The sequence below is a fragment of the Homo sapiens genome, chromosome 16 (genome assembly GCF_000001405.40).
Source record: "Homo sapiens chromosome 16, GRCh38.p14 Primary Assembly".
In the NCBI taxonomy this organism is placed as follows: domain Eukaryota; kingdom Metazoa; phylum Chordata; class Mammalia; order Primates; family Hominidae; genus Homo; species Homo sapiens.
The window spans coordinates 78,427,319-78,442,617 of NC_000016.10; the positions used below are offsets into that span (position 1 = coordinate 78,427,319).

At 42.1% G+C, this 15,299-nt stretch overlaps 1 protein-coding gene across 2 annotated transcripts in view, besides 2 other annotated features; it reads left to right on the top strand.

The window, feature by feature from the left end:
- WWOX (WW domain containing oxidoreductase) overlaps positions 1 to 15,299 on the top strand; it is a 1,113,014-nt gene that overhangs the window by 327,665 nt on the left and 770,050 nt on the right. For both annotated transcript variants that reach the window (NM_016373.4, NM_001291997.2), the window contains one exon: positions 5,170 to 5,434. In NM_016373.4, coding sequence (NP_057457.1) covers positions 5,170 to 5,434 — 265 coding nt within the window. The remainder of the gene's footprint in view (positions 1 to 5,169; positions 5,435 to 15,299) is intronic.
- Positions 77 to 246: an enhancer, noted in NCBI's record as "experimental_46257 CRE fragment used in MPRA reporter constructs". NCBI's record gives its function as "activates a minimal promoter by MPRAs in K562 erythroleukemia cells, with activity observed for both the introgressed and non-introgressed 16:78461377 variant alleles {active_cell/tissue: K562}" and the evidence as "EXISTENCE:reporter gene assay evidence [ECO:0000049][PMID:34662402]".
- Positions 934 to 1,228: an enhancer, noted in NCBI's record as "tiled region #4302; K562 Activating DNase matched - State 5:Enh". NCBI's record gives its function as "activates a minimal TATA promoter and a strong SV40 promoter by Sharpr-MPRA in K562 cells {active_cell/tissue: K562}" and the evidence as "EXISTENCE:reporter gene assay evidence [ECO:0000049][PMID:27701403]".

Below are 15,299 nucleotides of genomic sequence, written 5' to 3' on the forward strand. Positions count from 1 at the left end.
TTATCTGGAATCTGAGCAACTGAATTGAGTTTCTGCATACCTAAAATACATCATAGTGAAATGAGAAGTTGACTTCTTTGCTGTGAAAAAATTTCAGATAACAATTAAAGTAGAATGAAAAGAGCAGAGTGCTGGTTGAACAACCCTCAATGGCTGCAGCTGCATGGAGTGCCAAATTGCCCTCCCCCACCCCACACACAAAATCACACATACACGCACGCACGCACACACACACACACGGAGTTTCTCAGCTTCTGTGTAGACAGAATCCAGCCTAATTATTTTAGGCGGGAATTTTAAAAATCCTCAATAAAATTGGGCTTGGTAGCACATGCCTGTAATCCTATCTAGTAAGAGGCTGAGGTGGGAGGATGGCTTGAGCCCAGGAGTTTGAGGTTGCGGTAAGCGTTGATCATGCCACTGCATTCCAGCCTGGGTGACAGAGTGAGACCCCATCTCTAAAATAAAAATTAAAAATTGTTTAAAAAAAATGCAGTATAGGCCAGGCACAGTGTCTCACGCCTGTAATCCCAGCACTCAAGAGTTCGAGATCAGCCTAGCCAGCATGGCGAAACCCCATCTCTACTAAAAATACAAAAATTAGCCAGGTGTGGTGGTGCACGCCTGTAATCCCAGCTATTTGGGAGGCTGAGGCAGGAGAATTGCTTGAACTTGGGAGGTGGAGATTGCAGTGAGTGGAGATTGCACCAGTGCACTCCAGCCTGGGTGACAGAGCAAGACCCTGTTTCAGAAAACAAAAACCCAAAAAGCAAAACCCCCACAGTATATATAGAAATACAAGATTTGTGAGGGGCGGGGGTCCCCCTACAAAGCAAGTGTTACTGTCCACAGAGCAAATGTCAATATTTTAATGTACTAGTAAGGGAAAATTCTATTAAGACATAATTGTTTGGCTTTGTCAGTTTGTCAACTTGAAAATAGAGTCAGCAGCATCTAAAGAGTTGTTTTACTACCTCTGGAGCTGAGAGGTGAACATAGTCGTTTTTCAGGAAGCCGTTTCTGGCTCAGACAGATAAGAAGCTGGCCCACCCTTGCCACTTCCTGGAGGACTGTCAGTGCTAGCTAATGAGACTGTAAAAGTGGACTATCTGCCCAGGAGACAGTGAGGAAGGAAATCAGGGGTCACCCTTACAGGGAAGGGCTCTTTGCAGAGAGAGTGCCTGATACGTAGCAGCTGGTACTTCTCCATCTTGAAACTGTCCTTCCTGGTTTTGTCTAATTTGTCATCATGGGATTCTTTTGACTTGTTTCTAGATTAGGGATCAAGAAGAAATGACTTTCTCCTCTTAGACATTTAATTCACTTAGTGTTCCCTAGTCATGACATACTTCTGTGTTATCCTTAAATACTGAAACAGGGACCTTATTCTTAACAGTAGAAAATCACTGTGTATGATGATAGTGTATACCTGTAATACCAGCTACTCAGGAAGCTGAGGCAGGAGGATCCCTTGAGCTCAGGAGTTGAGATTAGCATGGGCAACAAAGCAAGACCTTGTCTCTAAAAGAATAAGCAGAAACCAAAAGCCCTAAACATGAGGAAATTCCACATGTAAACATTAATGGAAAACATAGAAGAGTTGAACCTAGTGGTAAATTTTACCTTTAGAGCAATGCTTGAAACAAGGGAAACTGTCAAATTCTCATCATGGGATTTGTGTTCCTTTGTTTTTTTTATTAAGGACTTGGTCCTTGGATTGGAATTCCAAACCCATGACCAAACTGTAATCATCTAATTCTGTATTGAGTCCTTACTATGTGTCAGGCACTGTAGTAAGCAACACTCAAGAATCTTACAGTCTACTTTCCAAGAATTCACAGTCTAGTTTTGGAATCAGGTGATCAATTGACTTACAGTCTGGTATGGTGATGACAGAGGAGCAATGTACAGATAGAACAGAAGGATGGCACAGTGAGCCTTTTCACCAATCTTGGAAGGCCAGTAATGTCAGTGAACACTAGGAATGGTGTCATGGCCTGGGTCCTGAAGAGTGGATACTTAATGTCCATGGAGGCATGCATTTTTATCTGCCTTGCATGGCTTCTTTCATTCTCTCCCTGACTTCCACCCAAAAAATCACCATGATATCCAGCTGTGGAAGAGTTCATTATGGAGAGCTTCCTGGAAGAAGTAGTCCCTGAACTGGGTTGGGCTAAACAAATATGCCAAGAAGGGTTTCTGGAAGCAGTTGACAAAAGATGAGTAGAGAGAGGGAGGGGGTGGTGCTATATTTATTCCATACCTTTCAGATACTCTCTAAATCCTTGTCCCTGTTGTCTATGCCATGTAGGTAGAGTTTTCAAGTCATGTCCCATACCTTGGATCATTGGATTCTCAACTCAGTAGCACCTTTGTGTGACACCTCTTCTGTAATACCTTATTATGTTGAAATAAAGTTAGCAAATAACATAACTTACATGCACAAATATATTTTCAATTCGATATGATAGCTTTACTGTAATGAAAGAAAAAATAACTGAAACAAAATGGCGTGTGTTTCAACATGTAAATGCTTGGGCCAGGCTACAGGAAAGATGGGGATGTATGTATCCGTGGATGAATCACCTTGAATGGACTCTCATAAAAAAGCCCACCATTACCAGGTGTGTGGTATTGCAGACTCCAGCACCACCAACCTTGAGTGAAGCCTGACTATATTAGTCTGTTCTCATGCTGCTAAGAAAGACATACCCGAGACCGGGTAATTTATAAAGGAAACAGGTTTAATGGGCTCACAGTTACACATGGCTGGGGAGGCCTCACAATCATGGCGGAAGATGAAGGAAGGGCAAAGGGATGTCTTACATGACATCAGGCAACAGAGTATGTGCAGGGGAATTCTCATTTATAAAACCATCAGATTTCGTGAGACTTATTCACTACCATGAGAACAGTATGGGAGAAAGCACCCCCATGATTCACTTATCTCCACCTGGCTCTGCCCTTGACACATGGGGGTTATTACAATTCAGTGTGAGATTTGGGTGGGGACACAGCCGAACCGTATCAGTCACCCTCCAAAAATCACACAAAATCTGAAAGTGCTTTTATTCATTCTACATGTAAATAGTTGTTGCACTACCCACCTGGAAATTCAGTGGATGTTTCTAGGCTCAGATAATTATCCACAGGCTTTTCATCTCCATGAGTGTCCACTGGGGCATTCTTCATTGAGCAATACATCATGTGCATTGCAAGACATCTGCCATCCCTGCTACCATCACCAGCAGTCATCACGACAACCAGAAGAAGGCCGTCATATATTTTCAAATTGCCTGCTGAGTTCCATTGCCTTAGACAATTAAGCTTGGAAGTCAGACTCTTCCTGTGGTTTGGGTACTAGAAAAAAGGCAGCCAACAATTCGTTTCAAGGTCTCATTTCTGTATCCTTGATGACGTTTCTGGCCATCAGCTTTGTTGATGACTTTAGAGCAGCTATGTCATTTAACACTAGAAATTGGATGTCACCGAGTCCTGTGGAAGGGATATTTAATTTCCATTAAAACATGAATTTCATTCTGCCCTTGCCATGCTTTTCTTGGTCTTAGCCCAACCTGAGCTGCTGATATTAAGGAATAATAGGATAATTCCATAATTTTCATTTTACCTTTTGCTTTTTGTTTTCCATAGCAGTTATCTAGAGGATTCCCATTATGCTTCTTCATTACCCGGTGCCCAGAATGAACTTATAGAAGCAGAATATGAGGGGTCCTTTGACAAACATGAGACTGTTTAGAAAATTCCTTTTGTTTGCTGTGATCCATTTTGTAAGGGAAGTCACTATAATGTTGTTATTTAAGAGAAAGAGACAAACGGAAAGAAACAAACAGCTGGTGTTTAACGACTCCGTCAGACCCAATTATAAAGCATCAACTAGTTACGTTGATTTGTGTACATCCATGCCATGGGTATACTTAAAAACATTAGATTTTGCCAGAACTCATCTTGGCTTTGTTTACATTTTTCTTTTAAACGTATAAGACTATTGATGGTACCTCACCAAGGTTATAACCCCTTTATAATCATTAATTTTTAATCTAGAAAAGAGTCTTGGAGACAACAAGACTCATCTATAATTTCTTGGATGCTCAAATGAAAATATACAGGACTCAAGCATTAGCTAAAATAATCCAGGAAAGCCCTGTCAAAGGTTAGGAATGTGATATCTTTCTGTTTCCAAAAGCAGCAGCCCTTTATTCAAGACACTTTTCTGTTTAATTTAATTATCTTTGAACTTCCTGTTGAAGGTTTTGAAAAATATATGTTAGAGGGTGGGGAGAGAGTTCAGTATGTCAGGACTGCTACATTTATGAGTGTGGGTCTTTATTGAAGTCTCTCTTTGTAGCCAATCCTTTTTTTTTTTTTAATTTTTAAATTTTAAATTCTTACTTTTAGATATGGGGGTCTCACTCTGTTGCCCAGGCTAGAGTTCAGTGGCACAATCATAGCTCACTGCAACGTTGACCTCCCAGGCTGAAGCGATCCTCCTGCCTCAGCCCCCCAAGTAGCTGGGACCACAGGCATGTGCCAAAATACTCAACTAATTGTTTATTTTTTGTAGACATGGTGTCTCCCTATGTTGCCTAAGCTGGTCTTGAACTCCTACACTCAAGCAATCCTCCCGCCTCAGCTTCCTAAAGTGCTGGGATTAGAGGCATGAGCCACCAGACATGACCTGTGTTTATATTGTTAAATCACCATTGTCAATCTTGAAAGGAGACTTTGTTTTGATGTATGTAAGATTGAGTTTTTACTCATCTCTACATAGTTTCCTCAGATTGCTTTTTTTTTTTTTTGAGACCGAGTCTAGCTCTGTCACCCAGGCTGGAGTGCAGTGGCACAATCTTTGCTCACTGCAACCTCTGCCTCCCATGTTTCAGTGATTCTCTTGCTTCAGATTCCCGTGTACAGGCATGCCACCACACCTGGCTAATTTTTGTATTTTTAGTAGAGATGGCATTTTGCCATGTTGGCCAGGCTGGTCTTGAACTCCCGACCTCAGGTGATCCACTCGTCTAAGACTCCCAAAGTGCTCGGATTACAGATGTGAGCCACTGCACCCAGCATTCCTTAGATTTCCAATAAAAATAAAAAGCTGTGTGGGAAGTCAGAACTTGGTTGCTTCATGTCATATTTCCTATTTTTAAGATTTACAGATATTAACGACTCCTTGGGAAAACTGGACTTCAGTCGCCTCTCTCCAACAAAAAACGACTATTGGGCGATGCTGGCTTATAACAGGTCCAAGCTCTGCAACATCCTCTTCTCCAACGAGCTGCACCGTCGCCTCTCCCCACGCGGGGTCACGTCGAACGCAGTGCATCCTGGAAATATGATGTACTCCAACATTCATCGCAGCTGGTGGGTGTACACACTGCTGTTTACCTTGGCGAGGCCTTTCACCAAGTCCATGGTAAGAGAACAGCTTCTGGCGCCGCAAACACCTTGGGTCCTAGAGAAACCTGCACACTTGTGTCTCCACCTTTTTACCTCTTGCGGGCATGAGTCTGGTCTCAGTAATAACATTGTCCAGCCCATCATAAAGGGCTCTTGAACACATTTTCATCAACTTTAGGTTAAGTCTGTTTGGGTAAATGCGTCTTGGAGGGCTGGGTAGAAGATGTGGGTTTCAGTATCATGTTAAGTATGGCTGAAAGTCCTTATGGAAATGGTGATTTTTTTGTTTGTTTGGTTTTGTTTTTTTTGGGGTTTTTTATTCAGAAACTTTGAAAATCTATTTTGTTGAATGGAGCACTTGAAAACTGCTGTTTTGTGTCAGTAGGTAAACAACAAACATTGGTGACTACTGAATTTTCAGCAGATGTGATTCCTTTGTTTCACAGAAAAACTGTATCTTTTGTTCTAAATTTTTTTCTTCTAATGGGTATAATCCTCTGTTGGAGAGTCCTTTGATAGCTAGGAGTGTGTTTTCTTCTTTACTTTCCCAAAGACAATTTTGGATGAATCATGGTACTGTGGTTACATTTGGAAGTGTTTACAAAGGTGATAAGATGTTTTTATAGTTTGGTGTTCATTTATCGACCATATTAAGAACCTTCTTCTATGAAATGGTTTTAGTAGGAAGTATTTTGAATGAAGAAAGCGTATTTTCCACAATATATTTGGTAGATTATTTTTCAAAACCAAAGGACTTCAAAAATGTCTTCCTATTAGTGGACACCAGTATTCCAGTTACCCAAACTTAAAATCTACTTGACAGAAATCACCCTTTTCCCAAACACATTTGCCTTTTAGCGATATCACAGGCCTTCACAGTTGGACCTAGGATATTAATAAAACAAAGCAAAACAACAACAAAAGAAGAACTATTGCAGGCCTATTATCCTCCAGCTGATCTCACGACCTTGGAAACTGTCTGCTGCCTTCTCTTACACTCATTCCCACCTGCCACCCTTAACCTTCGTATTTGGGGATGACTTTTTTTTTTTTTTTTTTTTTTTTTTTTTTGAGACGGAGTCTCGCTCTGTCGCCCAGGCTGGAGTGCAGTGGCGGGATCTCGGCTCACTGCAAGCTCCGCCTCCCGGGTTCACGCCATTCTCCTGCCTCAGCCTCCCAAGTAGCTGGGACTACAGGCGCCCACCACTATGCCCGGCTAATTTTTTGTATTTTTAGTAGAGACGGGGTTTCACCGTTTTAGCCGGGATGGTCTCAATCTCCTGACCTCGTGATCCGCCCGCCTCGGCCTCCCAAAGTGCTGGGATTACAGGCGTGAGCCACCGCGCCCGGCCTGGGGATGACTTTTAAAACCACATCAAAAGTCTTTTGAAGTGCTTAGGAGGAGGTAAGTAAGTATATCTTTTATTCTAATCACCCAAGTGGTTTTTAGGCAGAGTAAACAGACATATTCCAAGAGTCGAATACTTAGGATCAGTGGCAGTGAAGTGAAAGGACCTACGGAGAATGGTGTTCCATGCCGCAGGGTGGGATTGATCTCTAGGAAGTAAATGAATGAAACTTACCTGTAGGTGGATCACAGGGTTTTGAAATCTCCCCATCACTTTGCTCCCGATGACTGCATAAGCGCAGCCTCTTCATGAAAGTTTCTTTGACCATGGTTATGCCTCATACTTTGTTGTGTCCTTCAGTTTACATGAAAAGAAGGAATATGGATCTGAACTGGGTGCCAGTGCCATTTAAATGAGGCATTTAGGAATGGGGAGAGGAGAGAGGTGGATTCTTCCTTATTTTCTGCTGGCCCAGTGCCTTCCGCTTTAACAAGCCCAGTCAACCATCATTTGTAATCTTTGGGTCTTGAGTCATCTCACTTGTATTTGATCATTGATGTGTTTTAAGGAGCTCGGTTCAGTGGCATCAGAGAGTTCGTTTTCTCCTTCTTCCATAAGGTCCCTAATCAGAGGAACGGGATGGGAAAGCTTTAGAGATGAGTCTGTGACTATGGAATTTGGTGAGGGGTGATATAACCATCCTGCCATTTGTTGTAGACTCGAATGGATGAGGAGTCATTGATAGAAAATAGTGGAAACTGTTATTCTGTGGCCTGATCCCATTGCTTAGGGACTCTGTGCCAGGGCATGTGGGAAAAGAAGGAAGGCAAGTTCTGCTAAAATATAAAGTCAGGGTAAACATTTTTATTTATTGGAGAAGAGTTGATTATTATCTAATATTTAATATAATATGCTTAATAAAGTCAGACTTGAAAGTTGGCTGGTTGGACCTAACGGGAGTATCTCTAAAAAATACCAGCAAATTAAGTTGGATCGGTGACTGTATCATGATATCGGAGTGTTAGCTGTTTTGGGAGTACGTGTGCTCAGGACTTGGGCTGAGTGGAAAACCAGAGTATGGGGTTAGAAATGGAGGCAGAGGGACTACCATGTCGGGGAGGATGCACAATGAATTGGACGAAGGTTGCAACTCAGTGAGCACCGTACCTGTAGTGTGTCTTAGTAATAGCAGATGCCCAACCTCCATGCCTAACTCCTTTGCCTACCCCACCAGTGTGCAGCAGCCTCTGCCGCACCCTACTGCAGTCTCTCCTATTTCCCTGGCAGGAGAGCTCAGAGACTACTTGTGAACAGGCCTCAATGCCTATAGCAAGGCAAGGCTTGGGAGAAACAAATGTCCTCTGGGAGCAGCCTTGGGTAAAAGATTAACTGCGCACTGAGCTTTAGATCCCTGAGTGAGAAAGCTGTGGGAAAATGAGTGTGTAGCTCATGAGAGGGTTTGGAGAAAAGTGGTGACATCGCAAAAATCCCAGGTTTTGTTGAAGTTGTCTGTGGAGGGGCACTCATAGAAAGGGCACTGGACGTGAGCATTTCCCTTGTAGTTGAGATGGGATTTGACATGACTTCCTGGTGGTGGCAAGACAAGAAAGTGGCAACCTGGGACAGTGGACCTCACAGCTCTCCTGCTAATGGTGCTGATGGCTAAGCTCAGCTCTTACCCTTGACCACTGGAACAACTTAGACATGTCACCAGCTTTCTGAGCCTGTCTCATTACGATGAAAATTGTGATACAGGTTAGTGTAAGGACCGACAATAATGCATATAACATCAATAATGATGGATATAGAATTTCTGCAGTTATTATAATCTGGCTCTCCAGTATGGTAGTCGTGGGCCACATGTGGCTATTGAGTTCTAAAAATGTGGCTAATAGAACTGAGGAAGTGAATTTTCAATTTGATTCCATGTTTGTTAATTCGAACTGAAAAACACCACGTGTGCCAAGTGGCTGCCATACTGGAGAGCGTGGTCAAATGACATGCCTAGCTCAGTGCCTTTCGCATGGGAGGTATGCAGTACTTCCTGCCACGATGGCTGTTACTCTTGTCGTTGTGAGCAGTGCCTTGGTCCCGATGATGATTCTCCAAAATGTAATCTCTGCTGACAGAACAAGAGTCTGCAAATTGGGAGTCTGGAAAGGGAAGAGAAGGGCTTTGTCCCTGGCCCCAAAGACTCAGGGAGAGGTTTACTGGCCAGGTAGAAAGGGCGTCCAGGTGAAGGGACCCTGGTTCAGTGATCTCCAACCTGCACGTCTCATTTGTGAGGAAGCCGTAGGGTGTGGACTTTTCTTGTTTCTGACCTTGAGTGATTAGAAAATAGCAGCTTTTATATGTCACAAATGGACTTTAGATAAGCATGAAGATGACGAAGACTGTGGAATATGTAGCTAAGAGTCTTACTAAAATCCTCTCTAGTGTATTTATATATTTAAGCGTTTGGTAGTACTTTTTTAGCCATCAGCGTTCTCTATATTAGGTTGATACAGAAGTTATTGAGGTTTTTGCCATTGAAAGTAATACGTCACTTCATGCAGAGGTGGAATTGGCGCTCTGAGCTTGCTTGTCAAATTCACAGGCATTCACTTTTCTTTCATAAACATTTAGGACTCTGTATTTAGGAGAGGAATCACTGTGAATGTAGACCTCGGGTTGGTCATTTTCCTAGTAAGATAGACCAGACTGACTGGAAAAGTCACCCTCTTGGGCTATCCTGCGTATGTGGCTCGGCATTGCTTCCGTCAGGATAATGCATCAGTTTCTTGGACAAAGGGTGCATTTCTGCTATTTGAATGCAGACATATTTTTGGATATAAGCCACGCAGTTGCATCCCATTTCTTCCGTAGGTAAAGGCTGGGTTTCTAATTGTGATTGAGAAGCTTAGCATAGATGCAATGTCCCTATCACCAGATGGCTAGTGTGCTCTGCCTTGTCTGCCTTTTACCTTAGAGAGGGTGCTTCCTTCTGACACGGGTATTGCTGGAGTACACATTCTGTTGCATGAGGTCAGGGGAGCAAGAAATACAACCCAGACTTGCGCTCGGAAGCCCTGCCTTCATTTCTTCTCTGTAGCTGGCTCCCTTAAGTATTAAACAGCAGTATTCTAATATCAACGTCCCTTTTTTATTTGCTGTGACTTGCTGTGACTACGGTGATTTTAGTTACAGTAATTAGGTCACTCTTCATGGAGTCGGGCTATTTTAAGTGCCTCTTTAAGGAATATTGTTGCAGATCAGTAATTTTACAATTGGATGTTCTTGTGCAACTTTATTAAATGTGATCTGTCTTTTAAATGTTGCCCTTTTACAGTTACACATTTCTAATTGTTGCTGTAAATGCATTATCACTTTGAAATTAATTAATTTTTCCATTTTGGCTGCCTGCAATATAATAATCACTAATGAGAAACTCACAGGAATCAATTCTCAGCACAGCGGCCCCTACTGGTAAAGCCATGTCTCTGCCTCCCTCTTCTTCTTCAGATCCAGAGAACTGGACAAGTGTATTGGGGCGTCCTGGGAGGGAAGTGTTTGTTTCTTCCTCCCTTCAATTTATGGTGAAATAAAAATCACAGATAAACTTGGAAAGTGAGTTATTTTTAAGTGTCGTTCTAAAAAAGATGCAATATACTTCAAATAGCTGCTTCTAAAATATGTTAAAGGAAACTAACATTTGCTGAGTACTTTCTAATAATGAAGTCACATCATACGTGCATTACATGTTTATTTTCTTGACTCTAGAGCATTCTTTTATGCAGTTAAATTACTCTAAAATGTTTTGCACCTGCACGCATTAATGTGTATTGTTTGGTAAGAACTTTCGAGTTGGTGAAAAAATGTATTGTATTTTAGTATCTATATTTATATATACATATTAGTCTATGGGTTTTAATTCACAAAACCAGGTGTTGTATCTGGTGCACATAAGGGATTTTCAAGGCTAATCTTGGGTTTTTGCAGTTGTAACCATGTGTGATGACTTTAGAATCCTACCACACTTCCAAATAGAGATGCAGATTGACCATTTTCCCAGATACCACGATGCTTTATGTATCAGCATATATTTTCATTAATTTCTCATAATTTCTGTTAGAATTAATAATTCCAAGTTCTACAATCTTAGAATTATTATCTTTATTTTGTAATTGAAAAGCACAGAAACCTCATGCAGCGTGTTCAAGAAAATGATATACCAGCCTTGTAAACTTTCACTTGCTAATTGCAGCTGCATTTGCTTTGTCCAATGCACGGTAATGCCCCTGGCATCCATATCTAGTTATGCAGTTATGCTTCCTTTTTAAAATGTTTGACAGCACCTTCACTGAAATGAATGCTGCCACCACCGCCAACCCCACCTTTTTTTTTTCCACATAAGCTTTCATTTCTGGTAAATACATCCTTGCCAGAGTTCCCAGGTCCAAGCCGGTCCTTTGTGGACCAGTATGCAGATTTGAAGTTGAGCACTGTCACTTGCCTCTTAGGAGTGTTTTGTGCAACCACATATTTGTGTTGGCAGATAACAGTAGAAAGAATATCATGTGTTAGGGTAGCAAGAGCTTAGCAGATGTTTTAGGGAACTGCATTTTCAAATCATTTTACATTAAAAAATGGCTTACGTTTATGGAACTTCTGCGACGATCGGGTTACGTTTCCTGTGCCCGTGTAAAGCCAGTCATCGTGCTGAGTTTTAACGGATGTGCAGCTACCCTGCTAATGGATGGGCCGGCAATGCTGGTCCTGTTGCAAAGTTATAAATTATAACTAGAAAAAGCACAAGATGTCATTCTTCTAACCTTCGTGAAAGCCAAACGGGGTAATTCTGCCCTTGAATAACCCGCTGCAGGGTGATTTATAGTTGTACAATTTAAAACGTAATGAAGGAGATAATAGATGTTGATTTGTTCCTGAAATTAGTATTTTAGAAAAATACTTCTCCCCCTTTCCATCTTTAAATACCTGCAGCTGACTACACTATAGATACTATCAAGGGCAAAGCCCCCTGTTTGAATGTGTATTGGTACATTGGTGTATCACATACAAGGCAGAGGGTGTATAAAACAGGCTTTCTGTTGCGAGGGGGAAATATGGTTTTCAAAGTGGAAATTTCATTGTATTCTTCATGAATCTAAACATTTTGAGACTCCTGAGTGAGGTTTGAATTTTCTGGTTGCCTTTCTCTTGCCAGTCCAGATATGTTAGAAAACTGGACTCTCAGGACCCCTCTGTGGTTGGACCACACTGGCGCTTTCCTGCAGTTGTCTGTCAACAGAAGGACCTGGTAGCTGGCTTGTCCTCTTACACCACTGAGGCCACCTTCTTGCAGGAAGAAACATACTTCTTCCTGCCCTGGATTAACATTACCATTGGTTTTAGTAGTCTTACGTCATTATGTCCAAAGCTTTTAAGTTTACAGTGCTTGCTTAGTCCAGTGACCAATGGATGTAAGTAAGTTGGAAAAGGGCAAAGGATTTAGAATCATGAGGGTTGTATTCAAACTGCAGCCTCTACTCCCTTTTAGTTACATAATTTTGAAATCATTTGACATTTCTGAGGTTAATTTTCTACATCAGTTTAGCTGCTTTAGGCCGCAAGTTATTAACACCCACTTAAAGGTGGCTGAAATAATAGAGGTTTTGCTTCCCATGTATCCAGAGTTGCTGAGGCAGCAAGGGTTGTGTTTGGCTACTATATGAGTAGCTCCTTTGTGATAATCTTTACTTTTCCCTCATGCTTACAAGATGGCTTCTGTGGTGCCAGCCATTGCATCCTATTTGATAAGGTCTGAAGGCACAGATGGGAGGGATGAGGCTCCTCATTGCATGCCTTTTTCCTTTATCAAGAGACAGAGCATTCTGCTTCAGAACTGTCCTCCTGAGTTGACTTCCCGTCAGATCCCACTGGTTGGGACTGAGTCATCTGTTTGTATCCTAGTTATAAAGGAGACTAGAAAAGTGCATAACTGGCTTTTTGAGCCTCTAGAGTGGCAGGCGAACTCTGATTTTGAGGAAAAAGGATAGGGTAATGGTGTTGACACAGGCACTGTTGAATACGTATGTACATATTTTAATAGTTTTCTCATTAATCAAATGGAAATGCTATCGATTTTATAGGATCGTTGTGAGAAGAAGTGAGAATTGAAATGAAAGGCATCTAGTCTTCCCCGGTCCCCATCCACTTGACCCACCATACCTCAAGCCACTTCTGGCTCCATGCTCTTTCTTTCCTTAGGGTTTTGAAACATGTTCTTCAGCCTAGAATACTCCTCCTCCACTCTTAATTTCTACCCATCCTGCAAAACTCAGTCTGAACAGCACACGTCAAGGAAGCAGTTTTGGTCTCTCAGATTATATGAAGCTCTCCAATATGTTCTTTCAGAACAGCCAGTGCCTAGAATACTGCCTGACTCGTAGTAGCACTCCTTATGTGTTGAATGAGTAAATGAAGAGTCCCTGGAATTTCTTCTTCATAACATTGAACACAACTGCAGTTTGAAAACATAATTTCTGTAGTTTTTTTTTTTTCTTTTTTTTTGAGACGGAGTGTCTCTCCGTTGCCCGGATTGGAGTGTAGTGGCACAATCCCGGCTCACTGCAACCTCCGCGCCTCCCCAGTTCAAGCAATTCTCCTGCCTCAGCCTCCCAAGTAGCTGGGATTACAAGCACTGGCCACCAAACCCAGCTAATTTATATATTTTTAGTAGAAGCGGGGTTTCAACATGTTGGCCAGGCTGGTCTCAAACTCCTGACCTCAGGTGATCCACCTGCCTTGGCCTTCCAAAGTGTGGTGGGATTCCAGGCATGAGCCACTGTGCCTGGCCTGTAGTTTCTTTTTCTTTTTTCTTTTCTTTTCTTTTTTTTGAGATGAAGTCTTGCTCTGTCACCTAGGCTGGAATGCAGTGGTGCAATCTTGGCTCACTGCAGCCTCCGCCTCCCAGGTTCAAGCGATTCTCCTGTGTCAGCCTCCTGAGTAGCTGAGATTACAGGTGTGCACCACCACGCACGGCTGATGTTTGTATTTTTAGTAGAGACGGGATTTCAACATGTTGGCCAAGCTCGTCTCAAACCTGCCTCAGCCTCCCAAAGTGCTGGGATTACAGATGTGAGCCACTGCACCCAGCCTGTAGTTTCTTATTTAATGTCTGTCCCCCCTTCTCTTGACAGTGGTGTTTTTGCCTTCACACTACTGTATCCCTGGTCCATACCGTAAATGTTCTGTAAATGTTTGTAAATGAATACATGAAAGATGACCAGGTGCTGAATCAGTGAGAGTCCTTAATGTACTTCTTATCATTTATCCCTCTGAGGTAGGCAAGGGATTATAGTTTAGAATGTGTAAATACGTAAAAGATAAGGCAAGGAGACCTGCTGAGAGTCACACAGCAAGCCCCCAAGGTCCCCCAGGCTCATGGTCAAATGACATGTAAGGGACGTATCCAGCGGTGTGGGTATGTTTGGAGGGAATGAATGTAAGGAGAGAGAGGTGAGGCACAGGAGAGACAGGATGAGCTTTAGAGGTAGACAGCTCTCGGGTCCAGCCCTAGCTCTCTCCCATTCTAACTCTTGGGCAAGGTTCAAAACCTGATTAAGATTCATGCATAAAACTGAGATGTTAGAACTACCTCATGGGCTTGTCTTGAGAATTAAAGACGTTATGAACTTAAGGCCTCTACAGTGTGCTAGATGCTTAAGAAATGTTAACTACTATTGTTATTGGCTTGCAGTAGAAATTAAAGATTATGAATGTTCAGCATTCAGAATATACTAGATACTCAATAACCATTATTGCTGTCATTATTAACATTATTTTCCCCAGCTTTACTGAGGTATGAGTGACAAAAATTTCATATATGCGCATGAGTGTGTGTGTGTGTGTGTGTGTGTGTGTGTGGCTGGGCATGGTGGCTCTTGCCTATAATCCTAACAGTTGAGGAGGCCAAGCTGGGAGGATGACTTGAGCCTGGGAGTTGGAGGCTGCAGTGAGCTATGATGGTGCCCCTGCACTCCATCCTGGGTGACATAGTGAGACCCTATCTCTAAAGGAAAAAAAAAATTATATGTATTCGTGGTGTGAAATGTGATGTTTTGATATTCATATGCATTGTGAAATGACTACCACAATCAAGCTAATTAACACATCGGTCAACTTACATAGCTATCATTTTTTGTGTGTGGCAAGAACATTGAAAGTCTAGTCTCAGCAATTTTCAAGTATATAATACGTTATTATTATTACTATCGTTAACTGTATTCACCATGCTGTACAATAGATCTCCAGAATGTATTCATTCTGTCTAACTGAAACTTAGGATCCTTTGACCACTATCTCCCCATTTATCACCCCCTCCCACTTCCCCACTACCAGCCCCTCCTGGGAACTGCCCTCTACTCTCTGCTTCTGTGAGTTTGACTGCTTTAAATTCCACACAAAAAGTGAGATCATAGAGTATTTGTCTTTCTGCGCCTGGCTTATTTTACGATAAATTGATTGCTTCTCTTCCCATTGTTTATAGATACC